The sequence below is a fragment of the Homo sapiens genome, chromosome 6, assembly GCF_000001405.40.
Source record: "Homo sapiens chromosome 6, GRCh38.p14 Primary Assembly".
NCBI classification, from domain to species: domain Eukaryota; kingdom Metazoa; phylum Chordata; class Mammalia; order Primates; family Hominidae; genus Homo; species Homo sapiens.
Genome location: NC_000006.12, coordinates 88842938 through 88863810, shown reverse-complemented (window position 1 = coordinate 88863810; position 20873 = coordinate 88842938). Strand labels below are relative to the sequence as shown.

General features: G+C 34.5%; 1 protein-coding gene across 5 annotated transcripts in view; it reads left to right on the top strand.

Moving 5' to 3' along the window:
- The window catches only part of RNGTT (RNA guanylyltransferase and 5'-phosphatase), a 353722-nt gene that overhangs the window by 99808 nt on the left and 233041 nt on the right, over positions 1–20873 (top strand). For all 5 annotated transcript variants that reach the window (NM_001286428.2, NM_001286426.2, NM_003800.5 and 2 more), the window contains 3 exons: positions 10047–10182; positions 13985–14056; positions 19290–19454. In NM_001286428.2, the coding sequence (NP_001273357.1) occupies positions 10047–10182; positions 13985–14056; positions 19290–19454 (373 nt within the window). The remainder of the gene's footprint in view (positions 1–10046; positions 10183–13984; positions 14057–19289; positions 19455–20873) is intronic.

Here is a 20873-nt window from a genome sequence, read left to right as displayed (position 1 = left end):
ATTGACAGTTTGCAAATTAATTTTTTAAAATTGTTGAGTAGTTTGGAAAAAATTTGCTCCTTCCTTACACTTGGTATTTAATATGTCATTAATTTTGTGGAATAAGAGAGAGGAATCTAGAAACTGACACTGGGCCCCATGCCCTGCCAAACTCTGTCATAGTGTTGCTTTTTAAATTGACAGATTTACACAAGACTCTAAATCTTGATGGTTGAAGGGACTTTCTTGAAACAGACTTTGAAGACGATTAATAATCTGTTAATAGAAATAAGCACACACGGTACTTTGATAAGGCTTGAGATTTTTTGATTCTTTATGGTAGGTATCTCTACGTCTTCAAAATTTACTTGTGATGAATTAACTAAAATTAAAATGAAAGTTACAGTCTTTTGACTGTCGACTTTTCTATAGACATAATTTACCCAGTACTGTTCATTAAGATTAAACTGTTTAGATAAACAGGACATAGTAAAAAATTTGTGGTAGAAGCCACATATAAACTAAAGATGGCTATGCTTATGTAGAAGACATTTAAATGTTGGCAAATTGTCCAAATCTTCAGTGGCATGCTGCTGGCCTGCCGTTTAATATACAATTAACATTCTAAGATCAAAGACTAGTTAGATTAATTTGACAATTAAATTGGTGAAGAAGTGAATAGGCTTTGCAATTTAAAATTAAATAATACATGTTGTCTGCTTAATTACTGTTGTGTTCATGTAAGTGATCACATAATAGAAGGGAGCTGTGGGCTTAAAGTGAATTTAAGACCATAAAGCCATAATCAGTCACATCTGTTTCATGACTTTAAGTTGATGTGGTACGAGTGTGAAAGAAGAGCTCATTCTTTGAAGAGGCCTGCTGTACTTACAGAATCAATAAGTCAAAACAAAAATAACTGTAGGGTTAGAATCTCTTATATTGCCGAATGAAAATTTTGATAGTTTTTGGTAAAGAGATTATGTTAGAGCTATGTTGTCATTTCACTGACTGTTAGCAGCAGTAAAAAGTCAAAAAATGGTTAGACAGTGTTACTGTGTGTGTGTGTTCTTTTAAATTTGTTAATGTGAAACTGAGGATCTTAATATGAGTCCATTGAATTTCTGGGAAGATGACATAAGGTAAAGTCCTCAAGACTGCCCCCTCTTCAGACACAGTTGCAAGTCTTAGCCTCCAGAACTTCTGACCAGCTAGCTTCAATTTGGAGTTCTCACAACCCCCTCTTTGGATTCAATTAATTTGCTAAAGCAACTCACAGAATTCAGGGAAACTTACGTTTACTGGTTTATTTTAAAGGATATTACAAGGAATACAGATGAAGAGATGCATAGGATGAAGCATGGGGAAAAGAGTGCAGAGCTTTCACGTCCACCCTGGATGTGCCACCCTCCAGTAACGTCCACGTGTTCTGCTGTCTGGAAGCTCCCCAAACCCTGTCCTTGGTCTTTTGTGGAGGCTTCATTATGTAGGCGTGAGGGAGTAAACCATTGACCATTGGTGATCAACTTAATCTTCAGCCCGTTCTCCTTCCTAGAAGATGTGGGGTGGTGTTGAAAGTCCCAACACTCTAATCTTGCCATGTTCTTTCCTAGTCCCCATCCCGAAGCTACCTAGAGCTGCCAACCATCAGTCAACTCATTAATATACAAGAAAGCATCATTTTGGTGTTTCTGAGGATTTTAGGATTTGTATGCCAGGAAACGGTTGAAGAACAAATATATGTATATTTCACAATATCACAGATGCAAACAAATGATGTTTAAATTATCTGGTCTTTTTCTGAGATTCATTAAGTTTAGATTGTATTTCTATGGAATTATAGTATAAATCATAATTAGGTGCCTAAACTAGCCTCTAAAGCTTATTCCTAAGGTAGCTAAATTACTTATTATGTATATATACTATGAAAAATGACAAAATGTACTGTTTCAACACTGGTAATTAAGCAAACTGCCATTGTAACATAAGAAGTTTATGAAAACTATTTTGAATAATTTAAAAACTTTGGGGAAAACTGGATTTTATAAGATAAGGAGATAGAGACTATTATATAAGGAGGTTGTGAAAGGGGTTTTGACACTGATTCTTTATTGTCTAGATGGATTAAACAACTTATTACTTTAAATTTTGCTTTATACAGAAGTGTCACTAGCTTTGATCAGAGTTTTCGTTGGTTCATGAATGGAACTAAGTTAAAGGAGGTGAGAAGGAGAAATACGTTTTTTCTTTTTAAAAAGTTGTAAAATATACTTAAGATTTCTTATTTAAAAAAAAGAGTTGAAAGAAACAGGAAAAAATGGGTTAAAGAAGACATGGGTATATCTTGCAAAAGAGGTTATCAGAGGCAGAATTTACTGAGCAGTGAGGTAATGAGAGAAACAGGCAAAGTGTGCATGAGCCCCATGGGGAAGGAAGAAAGTTGGAGTTTGGCAAGTCAGCTGTTCTTGTATTGTTTTTTGAACACATGACAGGTGTTGGTGAGTAGGGGGCATGGTGTGACCAACTGCTCCTATGTGAGGAAGGTTTATATATTCTGTCTGGGAAAGTGGTCTGAATTTTCTTTATAAGAAATTTTAGTATACTTGAATTTATTTCTGTATACTAATACAACATTGAGAATTAGCTTTCAGGGACTTCTGTGCCAATTCTATTGGGAATAAAAATGAGAAGAAAGGTAGCTTGTATAGAAATAGCAGAGGTTTGGTAGTGAATTCTTATGAGAGAAAAGATGTACAGAGAAAGTAAACTCTAGAATTAGCATTATACACTTGTCTATGTTGAAGGATGGTAAATAGATGGTGTGTCTCTTGGCATGAAGTTACCAGGTAAAGGGCTAGTATTATGTAACCCTTGGTATTAAGGATATGTTAGGGACATTACAGTGGGATTTCATCATAGGCACATTAAACCTCCTTACATTTAGCTGTATATATTGAGGCAAAAACAACAACAACAAAAAACCCATTAACATGTTTTTTTTTTTTTTAAGTTAAAAAAAAAATAGAGATGTGGTCTCACTATCTTGGCCAGGCTAGTCTTGAACTCCTGGCCTCAAGTGATTCTCCGCTTTGGCCTCCCAGAGTGCTAGGATTACAGACGTGTATCACTATGCTTAGCCTTCTTGACTGTAAGCAATAGAAATCAACTTTGGCTAATTTATGCAACGGAATAAATAAGGAGAACCACTTTTGGAAAATGGATAGGAATCAAGGGAAGCCAGCAGCAAGGACCAGAGCCAAGGTCAGGGCACAGGAACACTTTGATTAGGAAGCCACCATTAGCACTTGCTGACAATGTCTTTGCTGTTGCTATAAATAATTCTGCAACTATTCTTGTGCCTCTCTGTCACTCAAGTTAAAAGTTTTGGGAAAGGAACATGGATAGTCTGGTCTAGATCCTGAGCCTATTTCCAGCCTGCTAGGGGTAGGGAAAATCTGGGCCTTTGGTTTCCATCTAAACTCATGGTGTCCATCGTTTCTTCCAAACAAAATGGGACAATTACTGCTTCCTTCTTAAATGCCCCATGGCTCAGTAAATATGCCCAGTTCCTGAAGCCAGAACTTGGAACTTCTCTCATTTTCTCAGTCACATATCCAGTAAATAGCATATTGAATTACTGTCAGTCTGCAACTTGAATATCTTGAGTTTATCTATTTATCTCTAAAATTATTGTTACTACTGTCGTAGTCACTGTGATTTCTCACATGGTCTATTACAGAGGCCTTATAATTTCTCTTGTCTACAGATTGACCCCTATTCTGTTGGGGTATACATTATGTGGTGATGAACTTTTAAAAATGCAGGTGAGATTATGTCATTAGTTTGCTTAAAACATTTTAGTGGTCTGCATTTATTTACCTCCCATCTCTCAGTTCGAGTCCACCCTTTTATTCTGTGTTAGGGGCTGGGACTTTGCAACCTACATTTCCCAGACTCCCTTGCCAGCTTACTTCGTGTTAAGTTTTACCACTGGGAGCACAGGCAGGAATTTGGAAGGTGAGAGAAGGGACTACTCTTATTCCCAGTTTCTGTAAGGACACCTCCAATAGCAAAGGACAACTATTACTCCATTCTCCAACTTCTTTTGTCACTCTCTGCACCAGTCTTGCTGTTTCCTCTCAGAGATACCAGCTTCTGGGCAAGGCATCCTAGGTAGATAGAGTGCCACTTGTATCACTTCCTAACCTGCTGGACTTTATTCCCTTAGTGGTTTGACCATCCTCTATTGGACACCTGTTCATAGGGATTCAAACTTAAGCTACAGGGCCATTTGTGGCCACCTCCTTAGAGGTTAGAGCATTCTGCCACATGGACCTCTTTCACCTTCTTCCAGGCATAGCCCTATAATGCTTTTCTTCCAAGCTCCTAGCTTTTCAATAACAGACCTCTTTCATTTTGTTCCCCTAGTCCTGCGGGTCATAGTGCTTCCTGCAACTATTAATCTCTGAGTTATTTCAGCCTTCCTGTTCTATGTTCTCAGCTTTCCAGTATCTTTGTAACCAATGTGCTGTATTATATATATCTCCTGGGTTTGAATTCTGCATTATGGTTTCTGTTTGTCTCATACAAGTAGTTTTTTGTTTTCTAAGATAAAGTTAAAAAAAAAAGTTAAAATAACTAGTAGCTGGGGGTGGGGGGATTAAACAGATTTTCAGACTGAGTACGGTGACTTATGCCGGTAATCCCAGCACTTTTGGAGGCTGAGGTGGGAGGATTGCTTGAGCCCAGGAGTTTGAGGCTGCAGTGAGCTATGTTCACACCACTGCACTCCAGCCTGGGTGACAGAGTGAGATCCTGTCTCAGAAAAAAAAAAAAGTTTTCATAATTCCTATTTGTCTGTTACTTCTTTAGTCTCATTTCATACCATTTTCCTGCTTTCTCTTTACACTTGAGTATTCTGAACCTTTTTTAGTTACCAGAACATTGCTGCATTCTATCTTGTCTGAAGGACATTGCACCTACTAGTCTGTGTACTCCAACCCTCCCATCCCTCATTTCTCTTCTTCTCTCACATTACAACCTGTGCTGGGTTGACTCCTACATATTGAATGTGAGGGTTAGTATACTGTAGAGGGTGTACAAACAAACTATTGTCTAAATTTTAATATCAGCGTTGCCGTTGTGTCAGCGTTATGACATTGGGCAATGTCTCAGTTTCCTCATCTGGAAAATGGGGATAATAATTTTACTGACCTGGTGAGGTTGTTGTAAGGATTAAATGAGTTAATAAATGAGTTAATAAAAGTGCTCTTTTCTTCAGAACATAGTAATTGCTCAGTAAGTGTAACCTGTTGTTATTATCAGCTATGCATGAATTCCTCTGGAATGCCTTCCATGATCTCCAAACTCTGACAGGCTCTACCTTTGTAGGCTCCTGTAATAGCTTCTTCTTCACTGTTCTAATATGTATTATGGTTGGAATTATTTAATATCTTGTTTTCTTTTTAAGAGTGTAAATGATGTGAAGTTGAGAAGAGAGTCTGTGCCATTTGCTGTTATAACCCTAGCATCTAGTACTGCCTAGCATCTAGACTGGCTCCAGGTCGGCCCTTTAACTTATATTTTAAAAAATAATTGATTAAAAAATTTAAGAGAAAAGCCATAATAAGTTTGATAGGGGCTAGGAAAAATGGATAGAGATAGAGATGGTGGTGAAATAAATCAATGTAAATGATCAGCTTTTCTGTTTTTATTGCCCATCAAAATGCTCTAGTATGGAGGCTGTATGACAGAAGAAGAGGAATATCTGTTGTTTTGAAGCCACTGTGGTACAAAGAACAAGGGTTAGAATCCTGTCTTAATTCATTGCCACTTTGCAAAGGGAAAATGTTTCTCTGGGTCTGATTATAGACTACATTTCTGGCTTGGTGGCTTTTTTCCCCCTTGTAAAGCTTTAATTTTGCCCCCTGTGTCTAAAAGCAATTTGTGTTTATTTCTAAAAATTTTGAAAGTACAGAAAAGCTTAATGAGGAAAGCAAATATCATTGATAATTCTAATACATAGAGATGGGGCAGCTCTTACTATTTTGGTATAGGCTTTACTCTATATTTACGATATACATACAGTTTTGTCCTCCTCCTTTCCTCTGTAATTATTTAATGTATTCTGGTTTTAAACTTGCTTTTTTCCCACTAAATATATTGTAAATCTCTTTCCATATTAATGAATATTTTTATCATTGTTTAAAAAATGCTTGACTAGTATGCTTTTACATGAATATGCAATATTTATTTTACCTATTTGCTGAATGATGGACATTTGAGTTTTTATCCTTTCACTGTTATAAAATATTATGATGAACTTTGTTGTACATACAGCTTTGCTTAACAAATATTGAGTGCCTTCCTTTAGTGTGTATTCAGGTAGACTGTGCAAGATACTTAAGCTGTGAGAAGGAACAAAATAGATAGGATTTCTGCCTTCATAGAGTATAAGATAAATTCCTGAATTGATGATCAGAGTTGGGTCTAAATTGGTGATAACTTTAAATTACCAGGAGTTTAACGACCATTTTACTCTCAGACTACTGGGAGGAATGTGAATTAGGACTCTAAGGTGGTATTAGTTACCATTGTTTTCTGTCAGTTTTCCTTCTCTTTAATTATGTACTTCCTAATTTTATTAATGTATATTTGGTTGTTTTACTTAATTATATATCTCACATCTCAGCAACTGCTCTGAAAGATTATTTCCAGTTTTGGTAGAAAACCTGCATTTACAGTAAAGTAGTCTATACATCTGGCTTTTCTGTAATCCATATACCTTTGGTTTATATACTTTAGCATTTTCTATCTGGGAAACGTATACTGAATTAAATTTTGCCTTTTAATGGGAATGAATGAATATAATACAAATACCTATTGATAATTCTGAATATTAAATTTGCAGTTGAGATAATTTCCTAATTAATAAGAAATTATATTGCATCATAGTTATATACTAAGGCAGTATCTGACAGTTTGTGAGGTAGTTGCTTCTTTTTAAAGAATCTGGCTGCTTTCAGGGACTTTGGAGTGATGTGGAAATATTTCCACATTCCTTACATGAAATAGCTCCTTACTTTTTGTTAGTATCGCATAACAAAAGAACATATGATTTGGAATGACTGGAGTTCAAACTAAAAATCATAGCTCAGGAACTTGTGTTCCAAAGCCTGAAAATTTATGTGTGCAGAAGAATCCCTAAATACCAAGTGCTAAATAATTTCTCTGGTGTTTCTGCAGATGCAGAAGCTATCCTTTTGTAAATCCCGTCCTCTAAAGCTTTTTCTTCCTTAGTCTTTTAAATCTGTTTATACACATGTGTGCATAGAAAATATTTTCTTTTGATTGATACTCTACTTGATTTAAAAGAAAAGGTCTGATACTAAGATGTGTGTGTGTGTGTGTGTGTAAAATAAATACATCTTCACCCTGGGATAATACCTATTGTGTTTAAACATTAAATTTAAAATTCTCAACTTCTGGGCAGTCAGTGAAAGGGGAAATATAATTTCAGTTATCATTATTACATGATCATAAGAGTAAACCATTTCTTTTTTCTGAATTCTAACATTTATTAGCTTAAGTCAGCTTTTCTCAAATTGTAAGTATAGAATACCAATTCTGTCAAATTTTAACAGATATCAGGATTAAGTTTAGGAAACAATGGACTAAATAAGATGAACAGATTTATTTATATATTTTATCATAACTTTAAATATCCTAATATATATCTTGACGTTCTAAGAGAAAGATACAGTGGTTTCCTAACTTATTTGCCTTGAAATACCCTTTTGGTGAATATCAGCTTTGCAAAATGCCAGCCTAAGTCCTTAACAACATGATGGGTTGTGTGTCTTCCATGCCATTTTTGCAGATGATGTCATCATTGCTTTTTATTTGATCTTCCCTTTTGTTGATTTAAATTCCTTTTGAAACATAATCCAAGGCAAAGCTTACTTCTTCCAAGTAGCTTAGATTCTCTCTATCCACCAGGAATTGCTGCTTTTGAAAAGCATGTGCCAGAGGGTCTTGCGAACTAAGTATTCCTGTTGTCTGTGTGCCAGCTGGCCTGGCATTTGGTCTAGGAGTCTTTCAGATACACAGTCAGTCCAGACTGAGGCTGAATTTATTTTTCCTAGTGAAACCTGAGTCCCCACACTCCCCATCTACTAGGGCTGCAGCTATTATAGCAAGGGCCTGAGCTCTCCATCTGCTCCCCAGACACCTGCTGGAACTAATTATCATTATTATTAAAACTTTAAAAAAATTTTTTTCTATTATGTTGCCTTTTTTCCTTTCCTTTTTCTTTTTTCACTTTTTTTTTTTTTGGAACTGATTATTTTGGAAACAGCAAAGAACAACATACTTCACAATCTAATCCAAAAACATAAGCCCCTTTGGTCTTCCATGCTGCTCTTTTCCATTTTGTTTGTACACTTGTTTTCCCTTCATCAGCTCTCCTATTTCTCCTCACCTATCCTAAACATGTGTACTTTGCTCTTCAGAACATTGGTTTGTGGTTAGCCAGTTATCCACTATTATATTAGCTTCCATATACTCTGTTAGCTTGCATGTCTTCATGTAATATTTCTTCTGTCCCCTAATCTTAACTTGATTCAGCTGCATCTTTCAGTCGTTGCTGCCTTTTTTTTGGACATACCTCAGGTACTTTGCGGGTAGGAGGTTGGGCAGTCTGGTCAGTGTTCTCTTTCATTTTCGTTGGTACCTCCAGACCACTCTTCTTCCATTCTTTCATTTAACACCAAACACCAAACAAAAACAGCCTAACAAAATGATTCTGTTTCTTTGAGGCTTATGCCTTTTAACTTTCTAATCTTTTTTGCTATAAATTTTTTCTCATTCTTTGAAGACTTTGGTTCTTGGATTTGATCTTCATTTTCACCCCAAGTCTTCTTATTATCCATTTGGTAGCATAGCTTCCCAGACTGTAATGTCTTCAACATCAGTCCATCTGGACTTTATATGTGGTGTGAAATAGAACTCCATTCTTGATTTGCTGATGGGAAATCAGTGATGATAACCTAACCATTTGAAGAATGACAGGTTGTTAAGTGTATGAATTCCCCCATATGTTGATTGAGTTTAAGAAGATAAGAGATAATTGAAAATCTTATGGCTGTGTTTAAAAATATTTTAATTTTATAGTCATAAATGAGAAGAAAAGTTATACCTGATATTGTGGTACCTGGCTATATCATGATATTGATTCAAAGAGAGGGATTAGCTGTTTTGCTAACAGGTATGGTAGAAAGAGCACTGGATAATTTAAAGTCTGGCAAATGGCAAATCACTTAATGTTTTTCACTGCTTTTTTCTATTTTGAAGTGGAGAGAATACCTAATCCATATAGTTATTGAGCTAGTAAAGTACATTTATATATGTGTATATGTGTATTTTGTAAACTTTGAAAGGCTTCAATGTTTAAGATCTCATAAAAATTAGAGAACCATTCTCTGTTAGGATGGATTCATAAGGTTACTCCTGAATATCACATTATCTCCATAAAAAACTTAGAATTCCCTATACTCTGTGTTTTCTATAGGAAATGAAAAAAGTTAAAAAAATTATTATTTGTGGACTAGGCGTGGTGGCTCATCGCTGTAATCGCAGCACTTTGGGAGGCTGAGGTGGGCAGATCACTTGAGGCCAGGAGTTCGCGACCAACATAGTGAAACCCCATCTCTACTAAAAAAAAGAAAGAAAAAACAAACAAATTAGCTGGGCATGGTGGCACACACCTGTAATTCCAGCTACTCTGGAGGCTGAGGCACAAGAATTGCTTGAACCTGGGAGGCGGAGGTTGCAGTGAGCCAAGGTTGTGCCACTGTACTCCATCCAGCCTGGGCAACAGAGGAAGACTCTGTCTCCAAAAAAAAAAAAAAAATTATTATTTGTGATACTTTAATCTACATGATAAAGAGACTCCAGTGAACATTAGTCTACAGATGTTTAAGGTCTATGGAAAACCAGTATGTTATTTCTCATGACCCTGTTCTTGATATTATACTGTAAATATTAGCTTTTTAATGTTTCATTTACAGGTACATGATGTTGATTGATGGCACAAATGAAGTTTTTATGATTGATAGAGACAATTCAGTATTTCATGTTTCAAATCTGGAATTTCCATTTCGTAAAGATCTTCGTATGCATTTATCAAATACTCTCTTGGATGGCGTAAGTCATATTTATGTATACTATAAAATTAAACATTGCCATTTTTCTTTTCCTTGTAAGTAAATGTGTATTTCTGTTGGTTAAGAAATTTCGAATGAAATCTAACTTTTTTTTTTTTTTTTTTGAGACGGAGTCTCGCTCTGTCGCCCAGGCTGGAGTGCAGTGGCGGGATCTCGGTTCACTGCAACCTTTGCCTCCTGGGTTCAAGTGATTCTCCTGCCTTAGCCTCCCCAGTAGCTGGGATTACAGGCATGTGCCACCACGCCCGGCTAATTTTTGGATTTTTAGTAGAGAAGGTGTTTCACATGTTGGTCAGGCTGGTCTTGAACTCCTGACCTCGTGATCCACCCGCCTCAGCCTCCCAGAGTGCTGGGATTACAGGCATGAGCCACTGCGCCCAGCCAAATCTAACTTTTATTAGGATGTTAAATTTCATTTATTTCTTATGTATACTTATATTGAATTAAGGTCCTCTTAAAGAGAGATCTGCCAACTGAATCTTTGAGCATAAGTAAGACTTTGAGATATTTTCTTTGGTGGAGAAATTTGTTAAAGATATGTAAAGGGTGTTAAATGAGTGCTCTGGTCAAATATGTATACATATGGATAGTTATATAATTTTGCATGAAGAGAAACATATGTTACATGTGGTTAGTAACTTGTCTTTTTCCCCACACTTAGCAATGTGTTTTGGACATCTTTTTCACATAAATGTCTGAATGGTTTACCATTGTGTATATAGAGACCATAAATTGGGGTTTCCAAACTATCTTGACTGTGAAAATTGTAGGGTTAAAAAATTGCTTGTTTAAAATATGACCCTTTCCAATAGCATATCCTAGACCATATGAATTGGAATCTCCCAGGGGCCTACATGTCCGTACAAGTGACCAAGTGATTGTAATTAGGCAAGTTTGAGAAATAGTTCTGTAATTTATTTAACCAGTTCCCTTTTGTTGGACATTTTGATTTTTGTATTTTTTCCTGTATCTAGTAAATTTTCATTCCTGTGACAGCATGAGTAACAAAATACCACTTTCTAATAAAAATGATATATATATACATATGTACATGTATATGTATCTATATGTGTATAGATTTAACTATCATAGTTAATGTGACTGGTACCCTTGGGGTTGTATAGTACATAAAAGTCATAGTCATTTGTGGCAGCTCTGGTAGTTGGTTCATGGGAACAGCAGGAACATTTTAGTTTTTGTTATCTTTATTTAAGGTACTTTTTTTAGCATTATAATTAATAAAATATAAGAAAGGAAAAGACTTAAGTAATAGCATTTGTCAAAGTTTAGTATAGTTTATAATTGAACTAATGTTTGTTGAGTGCCTATTATGAGTTGCTATACCAAGAGTACGGGTATTGCTTAGAGGGTTGAGGAGAAGGCCTCACCCTTGAAACATTTTGCTTAATTGAGCAGGGTGGAGAATGAATGGTAATGATGGAAGAGACCTTTGAATAAAACAATAACCCAAAGAGAGGTATTTAAGTCCTGAGGTAGTTTAGAGGAGAAATAAATCACATCTAGTTAGTTAGGAACTAAATATGTTTTGTGTAGGAGTTGGCATTAGAAACAGAAAGATTTCTATAGAAAGATTTTTGATGGACGTGGGCTGAGGGCATTCTAGGTAGGAAATAATGCTTAAAAATTAGATATTTAACCATCTACAGATTTAACTTAGCAATACTATTTATTTCACCTCAAACTTGGATAACTGAGAGCGGCATAATAGATTCTTGTGAAGTTTTAAAAATAGCAGTATGATTCATGATGTCAATTTACTTGGGCTAGAATTATAGTTGCCATATCTGTTTTTTTTTGTTAATTAAAACAGTCCTGTAGTTTCCTGTTTCTTCTACATTTTCATGTGCAAATTGTTTTTGTAAAATTCCAAATCCAAGAATAATTCAAACCACCTAATTGTCTGACTGTCAGATGTGAGCATTGAAGCTTTTGTTTTGCTTTGCTTAACTATGTTCTTTGACCTATAAAATGTGGAAAATAGGAATTTAGAAATACTGCATTAATTCACTTGAAACACATCAGTGAAATTTAATCAACTTAATATTGAGACTAAGATAAGAATATAGCAGTTAATCATTAAAGTTAATGGCAAGAATTTTGGAAAAATTCCATGTCTTTTTCAACTATTAATTTTTTATAAAACACTACATGCTTATTGTTGAAATTTTAGAAAGTCTGTAAACTTAGAAAAAATAAACAATCAAGAGATGACATTTTATATTTTGATGTTAAAAGGAAATATCCTTTTAGTAACTTTGTTGTGCTAATAATTATATAACATGTATAACCAATATGTATATAGCTGACATTTAATATATGTTATGTATCTGGGGTTCTGTTATTCCTCTTCAATCTGAAGAACTGCTTTTAGGATTTTTTTTTTTTTTAAATTTAGTTCTTTTTTTAAAAAAAATTGAGATACAATTTACATACTATGAAATTCACTATTTTAAGATGTTCAATCTAGTGGTTTTTAGTCTTTTCCACAAGGTCATAAAATCAAGACCACTATCTAATTCCAGAACATTTCATCACCTATATGGACTGTGATGATTAGAACCAAGGGAGCCTTATATGAAAGATTTCAAGGAATGAGTTACAGAGATGAGCCTTGAAGGCCCACAGGTTTTGAAAACCCTTCAGTGGTTCCCTGTTATTCATAGCACAAAAGCCAAACTGTTCAATATAATATTCTTTATATCTGAAGCGTGCCTGTGTCTTCAGTCTCATCTTTGATTGTGATTGCTAATCACAAATACTCAGCTTTGGACAATTTCATGCCTTTGTTATACCATTTGGCCTATCCACTATCCTGCTGGAAAATATACTCTGCATCTTTCAGGATGCAGCTAATGGTCATGTACCTTATTACCAAACTTTCTCTTATTCTTCAAGTAGAAATAACTACACTCCTTGTACTTAGGCTTAGGTAATGCTTTCTTACAACAACAAAATATATTTTTCCTAAATCAGTGTGTTTTTTTTGTAATTTTAGATGGTTGTACATGGAATTTCTGTTATAAAATTAGATAGCAAGAAAACCTATCTGGTTTCCTAGTAAGAATATGAGGAAAGAAAAATAATTTTAGGTCAAAAACATATTAATAATTAAAATTTTAAGTAATACTGCATTTTATACCTGTAGTCATCCTTTAATGTCCTTATCTTGTTCTGTCAGACTGCATTTTTTTTGACTTTTTAATGGCTATGGTAGATTTGCAGTGATCTGTTCATACTCCCTTGCCCTGTTCCCTTTGAACAAAGCCTAGTAAAGTGGTATGAAACCAAGAAAGGCCACATGGCTCACATGGGAATTAAATCTATAATGAGGATGCCATTTATTGTCATAGATTTTATGATTAAAGTAATTGGTGTATAACAAAATTTAAAGCATTAATGATTAAACAAAAATATTTTTAAAAAAGATCCTGACGTTTAGAATTTAAAATTTGTAGTCTTCCTACCCTTAATTGTCACTTAGTAATTCAAGCATAAAGCAAAATGTAGCATGGAAATTCAAATATGAAAAATATGATGAGATATTGTCAGGTGATTCTATTTCAGTATAGAATAAATGCATGATGGGGATGGGGGGCTAACAGTTTATTGATATGATCTGGGTACAAGTGTGTTCACTTTGAAATTTCATCAAGTTGTATATTTATGGTTTATGTGCTTACTGTGTGTATGCCATATTTCAATTAAATTAAAAAAAATTGTTATTAAAGTATGAAGAAACTTACCTTCTTTTCTCTTTCAAGGAGATGATTATTGACAGAGTAAATGGACAGGCTGTTCCTAGATATTTGATATATGACATAATTAAATTCAATGTAAGTACCTATAATTTATAAAATACAAGTTATTACTGAAATAATGAATGTATTTTTGACAATAGTCTTTGGTGCTGCCTTAGAGATAGTAGGAAAGAAAATTTGTGACTCAGGTTACTCACTGGGAATCTTTTTTTTAATCCTTTTATATCTCCTTTTCTTTCTCTTATTGTTAATTTTCACACATTTCTTTGTTTTAGGTTTCTTTAACTTGCAAGTGAGTAAAGAATAATGGCATAACTCTGATAAAATAAGACAGCATTTCATAAAATGAACATTTCTGATTTTAATTATCCTGTACTTTTTTCTTTTAAATCTCATGAGTTTATTTCTGTCACCAAAACAGCAACAAAACAAAAGAGAAACTGATTATGAGCTGTTGAATGGGTAATAAATTGCAGTATTAATTCAGGATTGCATTAATCCAGGTTATTAAAAGACATTTTTTTCTGGACATTTTTAATGCACACATCTAATTTTTTGATTGAAATTCTGTATTTAAAACAAAGAACTTCAAATTTAAGAGCCTCAGGGCCAGAAAACATCAAGTTTTATTTTGTTCTGTTTGACTGTATTCCTCATAAGTACTGCTTTCCAGAACTGGCTTAATCTCATCACAGATCTTGGAATAACATTCATTGGCCTATAACTAGACATAAGGGGTGGCGGGGTGGCTTTGTTTCTTTGTGAGTAGGGAAGTTCTGTCTCCTTTACTTCTTGACACTGAGCTCTGCTTTAATACATGTTCAGTCTGGGCTTACTCTCACTTCTTAGCTGAGTACTGTCTCTTAGATAGCAGTTTTCTAATACTTTTTAAAAATATGAAAAATTTCACCATATAGAAGAGTCTGAAAAATAATGTAAGGAATACTCATGTACTGACCAGCTAGATTTGTTAAAACTTCATACTTTTGGTCCACTTTCTTTTTAATAAGACATGATTCATTACGAATCCAATAGAAGTTTCTTAGTTACACCTCTCTCCTAATCTCAAATCTCTTGCCCAGAATCAGCCTCTACCCTGAATTTGGTGTGTTTATTGTTCCCATGAATGTTTCAGATACTTTTACTACCTATGTGTGTATCCATGAAATATATATGATATTCTTTTGCAAGGTTTCTGGTGTTATATAAATGTTATTGTACTATACCTTTGCTGACCTTTGCTCAACAAGATAATGTTGAGATTTATTTGTACTAATATGTCTAGATTTAGTTCATTCACTTTAATTACCATTGAGTATTAAATTGTATAAATATACAGAATTTATCCTTTTTCCTTTTGATGAACATTAAGGTTTCCATTTTTTGCTTTTATATTACTACTATATTGAACAATTTTATGTTTTTTTCTTGTGCGCACATGAAAATTTCGCTAGGACAGTTGTTCTCATTCTTGGAATGTAATTACCTGGGAAGTGTTTTTAAAAACTCTGTTCCGTCATTAGTGTATCATGGAGATGGTGATTAAATCAGCAGCTTCAGCTATATTATCTGCATTGCTAAATTTCTCTCAGAAATAGTTGTTTCAGTTTGCCAAAGTTCGTTTTATCACACATTTATATTATTACCAATTTGATGTGTGTGAAATGGTATCATCCTGTTTTAATTTGCTTTTCCTTGATTACTAACAAGGTTTAACATATTTCTTATTTTTTTTTTTTACTTGTTTGGAATTTATATGATTTAATTGCAAGTTTGTATAATCTTATAATACAATCTTCTGTTTTTCCTATTTGGTTGTCTGTTTTTTTCCCTGATTACCAATGAAGTTGGACATATTTCTGAGGTTTATTTTTATTTGTTTGTATTTTTCTTTTGTAACTTAATTGCAAGTTTGTTCTATTTGGTTTTCTGTCTCTTTTTTTTCTTCTTAATATGTAGGAGTCAATTATCTTTCCTAGATTCTAGTCCTTTCCTGGTTATATGTGTGGCAATATGTTTTCCAAATCAGTGTTTATTAATGCACAGAAGCTTTAAATTTTAATAAAGTCAATCTCATCAGACCTTCCCAAATATTATACTTTTTGTTTTGTTTAAGAAATTAATCTATATTTTATTCTAAAAATGATTGTTATGCTTTTTGTCCTTAGGTCAATAATTGTTTATTCAATACATATTTATTGTGTGCCTATTACCATATTTTATGATTTTAAGCCACGTATATTTTTACATTTCTGATATTGGGATGCATTTATAATTGAAAGTATCGTATATTTAATTCTTTAATTTACTATGGAGTCTTTATGGATGATTAACAATATTATTTATTTTGTATCACCAAATCAGGGCCACTGTTAGAAAAAGAATTTTTTTGAAATAATATTTAAAATCTTTTCAGTCCCTTAGTTTATTAGCTTGTCCAGAAAGAATTTCATCAATCATCTTTTTTTTTCACCCTCTGACTCTCAGCATCGATCATCTTTTATATGTCAAGTACATATGTACTGGGTATACAAAGATGAATGAGACATAATTTCTTGCCTTTAAAGAATTCACATGCTAGTGTACTGGCTTCCAAAGAAGGCCATTTGCACAGCGTTTCATTGGAATTTGGGAAGAACACAGGAGAACTTAAAAAAAAATTTAATATTTTATTTTGTCAGTTTTATAACATTTTACATTAAAAACGTAACATTTTGTAATATTTTACAGTTGTGTATGTATACACATTTTTAAAAAACAGGCATTTTTTAATGTATTTGTTAGGATATGTGTTTAGATTGGATATAAAATTAAAGCAAATTTGCAGACTATTGATGAAATATAAATGTAAAGAAATAATTATAACTTTAAAATCATAAACATAACAAAGGTATATAAAAGATATAGTGGTATTAGAGAGGTGAGAGTATTCCAACTTCCCTGGGTATAGTTGAGTCACTGAAGCATGGAATTGCAGACCGAGAAAGTGACACAAATTAGTTTTGAAGGATTGAGTCATGGAGGTCAGGAGCATTAGATGGTTTGTTAGCATACATTTTTTTTTTTTTTTTTGAGACAGTCTTCCTCTGTCACCCAGGCTGGAGTGCAGTGGCATGATCTCAGCTCACAGCAACCTCTGCCTCCCGTGTTCAGGCAATTCTCATGCCTCAGCCTTCCGAGTAGCTGGGACCACAGGCGTGTGCCACTACGCCCAGCTAATTTTTGTATTTTTAGCACAAAAATACAAATACATGAGGTTTTGCCATGATGGCTACGCTGGTCACGAACTTCTGGCCTCAAGCAATCTGCCCGCTTTAGCCTTCCAAAGTGCTGGGTTTACAGGTGTGAGCCATCTGCACCCGGCCTGCTAGTATACTTGACGGATGGTAAGGTGTGGGACATAGCAAAAAATGAGAATGGATTGTTAAGTAGAGGGCCAGATTACTTGAATAAGGCATTTTAACTTAGTTCTTTATGTAATAAGGCATTGTTAAAGGGTTTTCATTATAGTAATGATATGAATATACTTTTACTATTTTGAAAGATAACTAGTGGCAGCATGGATAGTGTTTTGAAGGGAGTAAGAACTGAAAACAGGGAGACAAGCTAGTCAATAATTATTGAGTGTTTCCTGTAGTCTCTTCTCAGTAATTCAACACCTATCTGTTGAGAGCTTAACTTTGCCCATAGGCATTGTGGATTTGAAGGTGAACTTGCTTTCAGTCTATTCTTGAAGTTTGGTGAATTTATGTATAAAGGTAGAAAGCTTCTAGGAGGGAATTTAGACATTTACATATGTTTTAACAGTTGTTAGACTTTTTTTTTTTTTAGAACATAAAAGAGGGCTTACTTATTCTACTTTAATTTTATAGGTGTCTGAATTCTTTTAATAACTCTAATAAACCAGCCTAACGTTTTAGATTTTTCAACCTTGTTGATGATGTTGATTGCATAGAAGAGATGACACATGGACTGTATGGTTATTTACTAGCATTTCCCCAATAAATATCCTTTACAGATGGTTGTATGCCTTTATGTAAAGAGAACGTGTGCTACCTCATACCTCTCACTCACTTTGTCTCTCTCCTTATTCTTTGCTGAATATCAAAGTTGTCATCCTTCTAAAGTTGAGAAAAAGACATCCCCAAGGTATATTTAATGTTTACTCCTTAAGCAAGTGCTGCCACCCCTATGTAAACATTAGGTTGAGTAAATGTTAGGTTGGAGAATATACATTGGAGAAGAGGAAAAAGACAGAAAAGATGGGGGAAAAATGCACTTAAGGTGTGTCCAGTTGCAAAATAAAAGAGTAGCTTATGTGCCATTGAAGCGATAATTACTAATCTGGATGGTTACTGTCAACCAGATAATATGTTATAACTGTGTTTGTATATGCCACATGGATAGGACGAGACTTATCCTCAATTCATACAAAAGTGTTCATGTACTTTTTATTTCACAGTTCAAACCATATATGCTTTAAGAACATTCAAGGGAAAGTGTATTTGAGGGAGAGTACTATTTCTTTATAACTGTATAACTTTGAACATATTATGTAAACTTCTGTGTTAGCTTCCAGAGTTGAGGGTGTATTTGATACATGTCTTCTACTTGCTGATGTCTATAGCATTAGCACTTTAAACAACAAAAAACATTGTAGGTAACTGTGCGACCTATTTTGGTGTGTTACTCGCTTGTACTTTTCTGAATTCTGTGGATTTTAGTTTTTATACTGTAATAGGGTACTGTTAAAGGGTTTCAACTAATTTATATAAATAATTAAAAAAGACTAGTGAGTATATATTTTTTCTATTTTAAAATGATTCTGTACCTATAAATAGTAAGTATATTAATACTTTAATTCAGATGTGAAATTGTTTATTTTATTTTTTATTTTTTAAAATTTGGAAGTGGTGGTCTTGCTCTGTTGCCCAGGCTAGCCTCAAACTCCTGGGCTCATGTGATCCTCCTGCCTCAGCCTTCCAAAGTGCTGGGACTACAGGTGTGAGCCACCACACCCGGCCTAGATGTGAAATATTTCGATCAACTTACAGTAGAATTGTGCCACTTTCTCATACTGTTTTATACAGTTGTATTTTAAAATAAGTCTCTTTGTGTGTTTAGATAGTTGTATTGTTAGTCAAACTAATTATTAGGGTTGGTATATATGTTTGTGCACGCTGTGCACTGAATAACTCCAGAGGATGCTGTTTACACAGACTATTATGTACATTGTGGCAGCCTTGATAATTATGCTGATAAAATAGTTGTTAGTGTTGAAATTTAACTAATTCTTTATTTAATTCAGTCACAGCCCGTTGGAGATTGTGATTTTAATGTTCGTCTGCAGTGTATAGAACGAGAAATTATAAGTCCTCGACACGAAAAAATGAAGACTGGGCTCATTGACAAAACACAGGAACCATTTAGCGTCAGAAATAAGCCGTTTTTTGACATCTGTACTTCAAGAAAGGTAAAGTTTAATTTTTTTTTAAATTAGTGCTAATAATGTCTCATAATTCAGCTTACAAGATGAATATGAATGACATTTTGCTGCCCAGTTGTCTTGACTTTGTCAGAAAATACTCGAATTGGGTATAGCGCTGTTTTGGCCAAACATGGTACGACTCCTAGGCTTTTTCTCTTGAATAAGATTCTCAGTGGTGGCACCTGAAACTAGGCTGTTTCCCTTTTTCTCATAATAGTTTTTGTTTCATGGTCATTGGTCATACTACGTTTTTTAAAAAGCTATAAGCAACATAGAACTGTATTGAATGAAAATCATTAGGCCTGCTCCTACACATCCTGAAGGTAAAGTGTTTGGTACGTACTCTTATTAAAAAGATACATTTATATATATGTGTATGTATATATATATACAGATATATATATAGATATATATACACACACACATACATTGAAGGTTTTCTTTTAGTATTTTTGTTGTTTCCACTTAAAATGAATCATATACTAAGGCCAGGCTCGGTGGCTCATGCCTGTAATCCCAGCACTTTGGGAGGCCAAGGCGGGCAGATCACAAGGTCAGGAACTCAAGACCAGCCTGGCCAATATGGTGAAACCCGTCTCTACTAAAAATACAAAAATTAGCCGGGTGTGGCGGCGCATGTCTATAGTCCCAGCTACTCGGGAGGCTGAGGCAGGAGAATCGCTTGAACTCAGAAGGTGGAGGTTGCAGTGAGCCGAGATTGCGCCATTGCACTCCAGCCTGGGCGACAGAGCAAGACTCTGTCTCAAAAAAAAAAAAAAAAAAAAAAAAAAAAGAATCATACTAAATATTCCAAGATGTTGGTTCTTTTTGTTTTGCTTTGTTTTTTCACTTAACAGTATGGCTTGGAGATATTTCCATGTCAGTGTATAGAGATTTGCCATGTTATTTGTTAAGTGCTGCATGGTAATGATAGTAAAGGTGTACTATACATTATGTTGTAATTGATGGGTTTTTAGATTGCTTCTAGTCCTTTGCTATTACCAACACTGTTTCAGTGAACATTTTTGTTTATATGGGTGGATATTTCTTCAGGGTAAGTAGAATTTTTGGTTTAAAGATTATGAGTAATGTTAGTAACTACTGCCAAATTCCTTTCCAAATAAAGCAATTTTGTCTCCAGCAGATGAGAGAGCTCATTTTCCCATTGCCAGCACTCTTTTTTTTTTTTTTTGATCTGTAGGCAAGGCAGTGTATTGTAATGGGAAGGTGAGTATGAGTTTTTTGTTTTGTTTTGTTTTGTTTTGTTTTGAGGCAGGGTCTCACTCTTGCTCAGCCTGGAGTGCAATGGTGCCATCTCGGCTCACCACAGCCTTGACCTCCTGGGGTCAAGTGATCCTCCCACCTCAGCCTACCGAGTAGCTGGGACTACAGGCGCATACTACC